Genomic DNA, 12,048 nt, shown 5'->3' with positions numbered 1-12,048 from the left:
TATCCGAGAAAACTGTGGCCATCTTATATTGACTGTGATAAGAGCATCTCTTATGCAAATAGCTTCTTCGAGGAGGCAAACTCCTAAAGTACATACGTAGAATCAGTGTCCTTTTCTTTCTTCCGTATTCCAAAGGCCTTCCTTGTACGTTTTTTCAATCCTGTGGGAAAACAGCAAAGGGTCAAAAACTCTCTCAGCAACATTCAAGTGAACATATTTTGAAGGTTGTAACACACCAGTTAGACTTAAATGTTTAGAAAGCAATGAAGTTTCTGAAGTTGTATGTAAAGGTATGTGTGTCTGCATGTCCATATGATTCATTATTACATTTTTTCAATAGTTACTTATCAAGGACTTCATACCATAAGTTCTTAGCACTATAAGCAACATAAGGATATATGGATACATGGGTATAGAAAAGATTGCAAGATTTTCTTAGACTACTGTTGTTCATCACCCATATTGGGGTTCTGCCAGGAAGCCAAATCACAGATTTAGAAGAATAGCCATTTTCAGGTTAGACATATTCTTTAGACTGGGATAATGCCAAGACATGGATCATGTGGCCCATGCCAAGAGAACTGCACAGATCTGACACATCTTTGTGTCTCGTATTCCCATCTTATCTTTTACTGCTTCCTCCAGTCTGTGGCTGCATTGAATTATTAACCATTCTCTGAACACACCCCAAAATTTGCACTCCTGTGTCTCTTTCTTTCTTGTTCGGTCCTTACTTACAGTTGAAATGCTTTTTCTATTTTGTGGACGTTTAGAATTTCAATTCATCCTTTAAGGCCCAGACCAAATGTCTCTCCTTCTGCAGGGCTTCTTAATCCTAGAGGCGTAAGACACTGACTACTCTATGCTCCCCACAAAATGTTGCTCTTATATGTATTATGATATATCAAATGGTATCACCTATTAGTCCCTGTGTCAGTTTCCCTAGTAGGCTGTGATCCTTTCTTGAACAAAGGCCAAGGCTCCCTCATTTATAAGTCCAGATAATATTTGTGATTTCAAATATCTTCCAGGAAGCACCATTCAAGCAGCACTGGCTAAGAAAGCCCTTTTCTTCCATCCTGACAAGCCAAGCCCAGTCTTGGTTCTTCTGTACTTCTCTTGTCAAGGCTGTTTGTGTTTCCCATCCCTCACATGTTCCATAGTTACAGACATGCCTTGTGCTTCTGTTAGTGAGTATTATTCAAATATACTAAATGTTTATATATTCAAACCTTAGACTTATTATTGGTGGTTTGGAAAGTCTTCTTGAGAAATTGGAGCTGAGAAAGTCACTGATATTTCAAATTTGTTTGGTACTACCAGGTGGAACAAAGGGAAAAACAATGACAGATTCAGTGAGTTGATGATACATTTTTCCAAAACATGTGAGTCAGCCCAAACCACTCAGACTATCTGAGTCATTCATTATCTGCCTCTTAGGATACTACTCAAATACAATCTTCAAAATGTCTCTGTTCTGTCTAATTTTGTATTTTAATAGTCATCCATTTAAGACACTTAGGTCTTTAAAATGTCAATTTTTAAAAAAGTCCTCCCATATAAAACTATTTTCCGTTACTCTCCACATGAGGAGTTTATAGGAAAATGTATTGACATTTAAAACTACCCACCCATAATATTAAGAAACACCTTCTCCCCTTTTATTTTTCATTTTGTTTATTAAAAACTTCTTTCTCACCTCTAATTGTCTTATTCCCTTATAAGGACAAAGTATCATAGTTACATAATCATCAGTCTATCCCTACTATTTTCCTTGGTTTTCAAGTCTCCTAATTGGCTTCTCTTTGCTTCTGTTTTAGCTTCGAGCTCACAATGAATGCCATATTCAGCAATCACCACTGGTTTTTACAGGACTGTAAAACCAATGCTATTATCATCTCAGGGTTTCAAGTGCTTTACTTCCTGTAACTTGACCTATGAGATAAAAAATAGCATGCCTTACCAAATATATCAGAAAATACACACACATTCCAGTACTCTTTGTATTAAATTGGTAACAGAACAGGAAATAGTAGTTTTCCACAGACCCTGTGCTGGTTTTGACCACCAAGTTTGGACAATAGCCAACATGAACTAGGTCATGAACATCATGTGTTGTCCACTTTCCAGTGAAAAAAATGCACTGAATCAGGATCCAGGAGGCAGAGAGTCCATTCCCAGCATCAGTTCTAATTGCATAGCTTAATACAAGTTACATTACCTTTATGTTTCAACCTCTCAGCCTATAACAAATCAGCCAACGATAAGAGACGAAAGAATCTGCACACCTTCACAAAATGCCATGCCTATATCTGTAGCTTTACTTTCACTGGAAATGATGTTTTTAACACATGAAATACACTTATACATAGAATGTCAATAGGCATACACCACAATATGTGAAATTCTAGAAAAAAAATGCCCTAATCAAATTGTTGAATAAGAAAAAAAGTTTGGGCCAGGTGCAGTAGCCTATGCCTGTAATCCTAGCCCTGTGGGAGGCTGAGGCGGGTGGATCACTTGAGGTCAGGAGTTTGAGACCAGCCTGGCCAACATGGTGAAACCCCGTCTCTACTAAAAATACAAAAGAATTAGCCTGAGTGGTGGTGCACACCTGTAGTCCCAGCTACTTGGGAGGCTGAGATGGGAGAATTGCTTGAATCTGGGAGGCAGAGGTTGTAGTGAGTCAAGATCAGGCCATTGCACTCCAGCCTGGGTGACAGAGTGAGACTTCATCTCCAAAAAAAAAAGGTTGAAAACTTTTTACTTCTTCAAAAGTGGAAAGGTTTAAGAAGTTTACAAAAAATATGAAGAAAACTGAAAGACTAAAGCAAATGAAGTTATGAAAGTAAGTTATTCATATCTTAATGAATCTTTCAGAAGATCCAAGGAGAAAACAATCACACCAACTGTGTTAAAATTGAGTGAAGGGAAGTGTGTTCATGTCTTTTGAGAATTCATCAAAAAATATTGAAACTCTTCAACAAAGAGCAGCAATAGTCAAGGATCTTATAGGAATAACAAATTTAAGAGACTATGTTCAATAATCCGATAAGTTTTAAAAACAGTATATCCAATGATTTTTGACTTCAGGTAGTTATGATTACAATATAATTGCATCTAGGGTGGAGCACAAATTTTTTTGTCAACTATTTTTTACCAAAAATGGGAGGGCAAAAACTAAGCGTCCCTTAAGAAATGTGATGACTCTTCCCTTGCCAACATCAAAACAAAAACATCTAAAGGGAAATAATTTTACTGTCTTGATAATCTGGGGTTAGAATGGTTCTCTCCCAAGCTATGGAATTGAGAACACTTTCTTATGTGGATCCAAAACTGCCACACTGTGTGTCTGGCCTGTGCCTCTAACTTCTCCACCAAATTCAGATTCCTTTAGCTTCTTTTGGTGTTGTGGGAAACAACCACACACACACACACAAAATTAAATATAGATGGATTTTTAAAAGGTTGAAAACTTATTTCAAACTAGGCAGCCCGGTTATAATGTTACCAGACAAATATCATCAATGTCTTACCAGATAAGATAAATAAAGTAACAGATGTGGAAATCGATGATAGTGATAGTGTCAAAAATACAGAGTAGAAAGAAATTTTGTCATTGGAATACTACCAGCTACCAGTGCTGAGGTCCTACCTATTGCCCAGGCCCTGGATGCGTATGTTGCCTCCTTTAAATCTCTTACAAACTTTGTGAAAAAGTAGGTGGTATTTTTCCCTAAAGTAGTGAGCCTGAGAGTTTGCCTAAGTTAGGTTTTATTATCTTCATCCCCAGCAAGGAAACTGGAGGCTACTCTTACTCCAGTACTCCCCAGCATGTTGGGGTTCTTCAGGGCTTTGTCCTAGGCAATTCTATATCCTTTTCTGAGGGTGATTTCATCCACTCACGTGGTTTCATTCATCATATGTATGCAGATAAATCCTGAATTTATAGGTGAGGCCCAGCACAATCTCATGAGCTTCTGAATACAGAGTACTTCTCATACTCAGGCTCCTACAGAGACATCAGATTTCTTCAAAAACCTTCAGACTCTACTTTTAATACATATGTAATAAAAGCTGCAAAGATATGCCCAATCATTTAGTTTCTAATTATTTTGTGAGTAAAATTCCTTTTACAATGAAATGGCTCTCCATCAACAGATAAATGGATAAGCAAAATGTGGCCTAGCCATGCAATGGAATACTATTCAGCCATAAAAAGGAAAAAAGTACTTATACAGGCTGCAACGTGAATGAACCTTGAAAATACTATGCTAAATGAAGGGAGCCAAACGCAAAGAGCCACGTATTACGTGATTTCATTTATATGAAATTTCCAGAGTAGGCAAATTCATTAATACAGAAAGCAGATTGGAGGTTGACAGAGGCCGAGTGGAGTGGGAAAGGGGAATGGCTGCTTAACGAATACAGATTTCCTTTTGGGGTGATATAAAGTTCTGGAACTTGATGGTGGTTATGTTGCATGACATTGAGAATGTACTAAATGCCACTGAGTTTTACACTCTAAAATGGCCAAAATGGAAAATTTTATTTTGTGTGTATTTTACCATGATAAAAAAGAAATGGAATAGTTCAAGCCAGATTATTCTGTGACAAGGGAGGACAAGGATGGGAACAAGTGGGGAAGAAAGGAAAGAAACAAGGCAGATTGGCTTAAAAGTTTGTGGCACATGTTACTGCTTTTGGTTTTTGTCTTGTTTTGCCAAAGTTGTCAGATATTTAGTAAAGACATCAATACGGTCACAAATTCCTGTTCATAGTGACCTTCAGAATCAAGAAAGTAATATTTCCATGAGAATTTACAGCAGACATCCAGCTTTTCTCACTCATGTATCAGAAGTTTGCAAAAAGCTTTTCATAAGCAAATGCATTTTTGTCATGATGCTTGCTCCTTTGATCTGTTCTCCTAAAATCACAATGTTATATTAATCCCACTAGATGGTGAGCTCCATGAAGTCAGCAGCTCCATCCATGCGGGCATCTTGTTTATTTTCACCTCCCCATGTTGCATGAAAAGAACATTCTTTAAAATAATTGGCTCAATTGTGTTAAAAGAGAGGCAGTATTTCTCAATCCCCTTTTCAAACTGCAAATAAGGCCCCATTGGAAGCCTGTGAAGGCGGTTTGTTAGGGCAAAACCTCAATTTTAAAATGAAACAGAAAAACGTGCATTGCCTATAGAAAGGATAAATACTGTTTCATGAAACTCTTGGCCAAATTGGATGGTGATATAAAATACATTTCTTATGTGACATGGTTTGGCTTTATGTCCCCACTCAAATCACATCTGGAATTGTAATCCCCACATGTCAAGGGAGGGACCTGATGGGAGGTGATTGGATCATGGGAGCAATTTCCCCCATGCTGGTGAGAGAGTTCTCACAAGAGTTTATGCTTTAAGTGTGGCACATCTCCTCCTCCCACTCTCTCTCTCTGTCTCTCTGTCTCTCTTCTCTGCTGCCATGTAAGACGTGCCTTGCTTCCCCTTCACCTTCTACCATGATTGTGAGTTTCCTGAGGCCTCCCCAGCCATGTGGAACTGTGAGTCAATTAAACCTCCTTTCTTTATAAATTACCCAGTCTTGGGTAGTATCTTTATAACAGTGTCAGAACGGCTAGTACATTATGATAGATTGCAGGTCAAGAATAGTTTGAAAGACATTTTTTTAAAAAACTTTTTAAAAATAACCTTTTTAACTTGAAACAAAAATTAGTGTGTTTACTGGTGTTTTTCTCTGAAGCTTCCCTAAACTAACTAAAAAAACTCCCACAAAGTACCTTAGAATTTCCTGGCTTTAAGAGTATACAGACCTGCAGGTGAAGAAGAAACAGTACAGCAGAAAAAATAAACTATCTTTATCCATTTTCTTTTCTCCTGAGTACAGCTGATAGGAATTGTAGGGATCCATTAAGTAAACATCAAATTTTGAATTTGAGCCACTTTTAAATGTTACACTGAAAGGAGAATTGTTTAGAGGAAACCTTTAGAAAGGAAACTTGGACTCTATACTAATTTTAGGTAAAACATCAAAGTCTCATACTCCAAAGAACCTACAGAGTTTTTGCTTGTTTAGTTTTATTTCTATTTTATTTTATTTTTAAAACACACCTGAAATATTTTTCTCCATACAAATGAAGACTGTTTCTGTAGATCGCCAAGTGGAGGTCACACTCCTGGAGCTGAGTCCCAAACAGAAGACACTGAGGTGTTTGCATTCTGTAGGCAGAAACTGAGGACCAGACACAAGACGCTGCTGGCCTTAACCCATGATGCTGTCTCCTAGAAGTGTAAGTGGAGAGTCCTGCCAATAACCCCTCCTTTCTCTCCTTGTCCTGTATTCCTGCCATTCCATTGCTAGCTGGTAACAGAACAACATGGAGAGGCCAAATGTAGAATGGTCACCTTCCTATCAGCATCTTAGCAGACATGTAGAATGATCACCTTCCTATCAGCATCTTAGCTTATCACCCAAGCTAACTTAAAGGGACTGGGGTGGGAAGAGAGGTGGGGCAGGTACAAACCAGAGAAGAGCCAAAGACAAAGCCAGGTTCTAACACTGGGGCAGGCGGAGCCTGCGGGAGAGGGCGTTCCGTCTTTGAAAGCACTTCTTTTTTACCCACCTTCCTTACTCACCTCATAGTCTTGCTACACATTGCTTTCTCTAATAGCTCTTTATTGTGGTGTTAGAACCTCTATATAAATGTACTGCCTTTAAAATTGTTGAAAAGGCACCACTTTTGGAGATCATGTTCCTGAGGTGCATTTGCTCCTCCTGCCTCTCATCCCTCACTGTGCTTTTAAACAGAGCTTGGACAAGACAAGGACTAGGAACAAAGCCAGCTCTAGGAGTGACCTAGAGCTCTGGAGAAGAAGAGGAGCTTTAAGAAGAGGAGGTAAGTTGGCAATGACCGCTCTTTAGGATCAATATGTAGAACCCAGTTAATAGTGGAATGCAATCTGTTCCTCACGTATCTCCCCCAGAAGCATGCAAATGCGTGCTTCCAAAAACTGAAGTAGGGTGACAGGGTGGAAGGGAACAAAATATGTGACCATACTCAGAATCCAAAGATCTGGGTTTAAAACCCAATTTGACTGCCTTCCAGCTATCATTTGCAGCAACATTGATAGAGAGTCTAAGAGGTACCGTGCTACTTTCCATATAAGATTCGTGTTCTCACAAGATATGCGATTTGGAGGGACAATCTTAATTCTCTCTCTGTAATCACTAGGGGTGAGGGAAAGGCAGCTCTTGTTTACTGAGAACCTTGCATGTGCCAGGCACTGTGTCAAGCACTTTAATGCAGACCAATTCTTTCAACAACCTCAGAAGGTATTACTAACTCCCTGTCTTTGGATTAAGAAACAGACTCAAAGTGAGTAAGTTTCTCTTTCAAAGTCACTAAACAAATGAGTAACAAGACCAAGATGTTGAGCTAGGTCTGTTTGGCTCCAGAGTCAAGCAACTTCTTTCAGAATGGTCATGATGATTATTGCAGTACCTAGTGCACAGAAGACATGTCATCAATGTTTGTTAAACAATTTCTTAAAAAGCTGCTTAGTGTTTATATAATCATTTTTTTTAAACTAATGACTTTTGCTGATGTTTGCAATCTACATTCCATTGGTGGCCAGTTTTTTGATATTTATTTGTGTATATAGATGCATTAGGGAAGGAGGAGAAGGAGCCCCAAACTATACCAGATGGACCAATCTGAGTACACAGGCCTTCGGCCAGAGAGCAGGGACTCAGAGTGAGGGATTTGCTAAGGCCACATTACATTTTAGGTGGGAAATGTGCACAATGATACACTAAAAACTCAATTTAGCTCAAAACATGTATCATAAAAAAATTAATAGACATAATGTACTGAGTAGTTGTGATGTTTCAGGAAATTTATCAGGAATTTTCTTATCTTAGTTCAACACAATTTAATAAGATGGGAGCTATTATATTGATTCTATATCATGGCGCATGAGAAGCACCTGATGCCAGGTCACACAGGTGATAAATAGCAGATCACATTTTAAAACACCCTCTGCCTGACTCCAGAGTCCAGGCTCCTCGTGACTTCAGAATATCTTTTGTTAGTCATCATAATTTATTTTATCCTCTTATTAAAAACAAAAAACAAGAATGCGATTTTTTTGAAAAAATGGAGAGATATTTTTAGGCAAGTTAGGCTGCACATTTCTTATACACAAAGGCTGTATTTTGCATGTTTAAATCTTTATATACTGCCCAGTGAACATAAAGGGACCCCATAAATATTTGCTAAATGGATTATTTCTGTAATAAATATAAATTTTCAGCTTCAGTCTTCATTAACTTGGAGGGTTACTCAAAGGTGAATCACATGTAATGGAATTACTTATTTTCTGCAGGAACCCAGGCCAAATATTTGGTCTCAGTAATAAAAAACAGGCAAATTTAATTGCCCTGGGCACAATGCCGCATATTGACAGCAACTCTAGACTGGCTATATCTTTTCATTATGATGCTCACTGTATTTCTGTCAGAAAAGATTAAGGTGCTTTGTGTATCAGCTTTTCCTCTAGGCTTTAAATATAGTCACTGTAATCCAATTCAGATTCTTTGTCATCAGAAGTTCTTACAGAAAGACATAAGACCAGTTAAGATGGAGGCCAGTTGGTCCAGTGATTTTTTTAATGATATTTATGATTTCCCGTGGATAGACTACTGCCTAGGGTATAAGAGATGCTTCATAAAGGCAAGTGCCAGGAAGTAGAAAATGTAGAGTTCAGTGTCTAGCAGTACCTGGTGCAAGGCAGTCATTCAGTAAATGTTTACAAGCCGTTCTACATATTTGCAATTCTAACCAAAATGAACTGTTCAAAGTCGGTCGGCATGTGGTTTTGGTCTGAATGCTTCACCTACATTTCTACTTGACTTAAAGGAAATCCAGGTGATCTCTGTACTAAGTATGCACAAAACCTCTTTACAAGATAATACCTCATCATTCTGAGCTGAGCACTGAACCTTTTGGGAGAAATCTTAAGGTCACACTCCATTAGCAATAGATTGCAAAAGGGTCTGATATAAATGACAACTTGAAATTCAGATTTGATACAAAAAAATTCATGCTGAGACACTAAAATTGAGATTTCTAGAGGGTAATTATGAACTTCAAGGGGCTAAAAATGACTTTAAAAGAGAAATATTTATTCTTTTGGTGACATAGAAGAAAATGTTAAAGAAGATGGTCATGAAATAGGTTTGCTACAAAAGGACTTGGTGTTTGCTGTGCCAATATTAATGTAATGATGCAGTTGAATATAATTGGGAAGAATTTTAAGCAGGTGGTCAACTTCTGTTAAGCTATAAGAACTGTACAAAGATCCATGGGGAGCAGACACAGTTGTAAAGTATGAGCTTTGAGATTGGAAACTTCTTCCTAAGACAAGTTCCTAGGACTACTTCCTAGGACAAGTTTATTGACTTCTCTGAGTCTCAGTTTTCTCAGCTATCTATCATAAAAGGTTTTTGTAAGGTTTAAATAAGTATAAAAACCCAGTACGACACCTAAAATATATTGTACATCACTTTATGCAGATTTTTCTTGCTTTTCTTGGAATTTTGATAGTTATAAAACAACCAGAAATCAGCTCTTTTAACAGATCACATAAAAGACACTAAATGACACTTACAGGAGCCTCATAACTCTATTCCTTTAGAAATAAAATATGACATCAAAATTTGAAAATCATCAAAATTTGAAAATAATCAAAATTTCAAAACCTCAAGCTTTTCTTTGTTAGAGCAATAATAACAAAACCAAACTCAGTCTCAAGAGATGTCATTGACTAACATCTATCATAAAATATAAGTGGGGATTAAAACACTCACAACAAGAAGTATAACTCTTTCATGCAGCAGGAAAATACAGCATTGATGAAGCCTTCTCTTTGTGCAGGTCTGTTACAAACTTCAATTGATCAGTTGGTCTTTCCATTGTGATCTGAAAGTAGGTCAGTGCTCCTTCTACTTGGGTTAGAGATATCACAGAATTTGGAGTTTCCTGCCTAGCCTATTTGGGAGACACACAAGTTTTGCATGAAGGAGAATACTTTAAACACTAGGTAAATTAATTTGACCTGTTCCCTTAGAACCTTGATCTGTAAAAAGGTTACTTTCTTTTTCTCTCCTCCATTTTCTCACACTACAGTCATTTATTTTCTTCACATCCTTCCATCTCCAGTCCCTCCCTGGCCTGACAATGACTTGTAGAAAGCATTTAAATTAATGGTCCTTCTCAGATAGACTTTTTAGGCATAAACAGAAAAATTCAATTGAATTGTAATTCATCAAACCAAATGAGGTTTAAAAAACCCTCCATTTTCCACAAGAAAATGAATTCAAAAGAAAATATACTGGATAATACCAGAAATGCTTTTCTATATGCCCTTTCCTTTTCATATTTCATTCAGGGAATAGGGGGCCAGTCCTTTGGTAAAATCTATAAATTCTTACTACATGTATCATTTAATCGTTCAAGTTAAATTATTCAAAGATCAATTTAAAAAGGAAGCTGGTGGACATGTGCAGTGGCTCACACCTGTAATTCCACCACTTTGGGAGGCTGAGGCAGGCGGGTCACCTGAGGTCAGGAGTTCGAGAACAGTTTGGCCAAAACGGTGAAATCCCATCTCCACTAAAAATAGAAAATTAGCCTGGAGTAGGGCGCATGCCTGTAATCCCAGCTACTCAGGATGCTGAGGCAGGAGAATAGCTTGAAACTGGGAGACAGAGGTTGCAGTGAGCCAAGTTCATAGCATTGCACTCCAGCCTGGGCAACAAGAGCAAAATTCCGTTTCGGAAAAAAACAAAACAAAACAAAACAAAAAAGGCCGGGGGCAGAGGCTCCTGCCTGTAATCCCAGTGTTTTAGGAGACCGAGGTGGGTGGATCACCTGAGGTCAGGAGTTCGAGACCAGCCTGACCAACATGGAGAAACCCCGTCTCTACTAAAAAAATACAAAATTAGCCGGGCGTGGTGGCACATGCCTGTAATCCCAGCTACTTGGGAGGCTGAGGCAGGAGAATCACTTGAACCCGGGAGCCGGAGGTTGTGGTGAGCTGAGATCACGCCACTGCACTCCAGCCTGGGTGACAAGAGCTAAACTCCATCTCAAAAAAAAAAAAAAAAAAAAAAAAAAAGACAGCTGGAACATAGCCCCTATTAGAATTCTTCTGTTTAATTCTAACCTACCATGTGGAGGCAGAGAGGTAGATAAAGTAGGAGATTACATGGTACTGCCCTTTCTATACACCACAGGCTATTAGCCAACTTTATTGAATAAGGATCTATGAAGTCTACTTCTAAAAAGGGATATAAATGGTTTAAAAAGTTAAAAATTATGTATGTAAATATGAAATTATTTTTGAAAAAATCAGCCATCAGATAAACACACATAGAAATAAAAAGTTTTAAAGGAAAATTAATATGCAGTATATGCTCTAAATTCTTTGGAGAGGCCTTAAAGGCTACCACGATGCATGTAGAGTGATCCTGTTTGCAAGATTTATAATAATAATGACCATCAATATATTTATTCATCTGTCCTCCATCCATCCATCCTTTGGCTATAAATCACAATAGGTAACATAAATTCACTGTCATGAAATTCATCCTGTTGGATCACTTAAATCCATCAAGTTACAGTGAACACCTGCTCTCCCTTAGTCTTTCCTCAAGTCAACTCTCTTGGAAAATTAACCCTTGGCAGGCTTGCAGATTTATTAAGCCATCCCTTCAGAATTTTAGAGTAAACAGTCATGTCATTATTCTCTGTCTTTACTTACAGATCTTCTATTTCAAACATTTAAATACATATTTGTTGCTCTACTAATGATTCTCAGATCCTAGGTCCTCATATTCAACTGGCAAGATTAGAATGATAATTTTTCTCATCACTGGTATTTTCTTCACCAATTATCCAGTATAGGGCAGGGATATGACTCTAGCATTTCTTTCAATGCTTAGAGTCATCCAAGCTCTGGAGCATTTG

General features: G+C 37.9%; 1 protein-coding gene across 55 annotated transcripts in view; it reads right to left on the bottom strand.

Moving 5' to 3' along the window:
• SGIP1 (SH3GL interacting endocytic adaptor 1) overlaps nucleotides 1–12,048 on the bottom strand; it is a 217,779-nt gene that overhangs the window by 125,133 nt on the left and 80,598 nt on the right. For all 55 annotated transcript variants that reach the window (XR_007064415.1, NM_001376535.1, NM_001376549.1 and 52 more), the window contains one exon: nucleotides 97–160. Coding sequence is in view for 54 of the 55 variants with exons in the window: in NM_001376535.1 (NP_001363464.1) it covers nucleotides 97–160 (64 nt within the window). In the remaining variant the exon portion in view is untranslated. The remainder of the gene's footprint in view (nucleotides 1–96; nucleotides 161–12,048) is intronic.

The sequence above is a fragment of the Homo sapiens genome, chromosome 1 (assembly GCF_000001405.40).
Source record: "Homo sapiens chromosome 1, GRCh38.p14 Primary Assembly".
NCBI lineage: Eukaryota > Metazoa > Chordata > Mammalia > Primates > Hominidae > Homo > Homo sapiens.
Note: the sequence above shows the minus strand (reverse complement) of the source record. Positions and strands in the feature narration are given on the sequence as shown.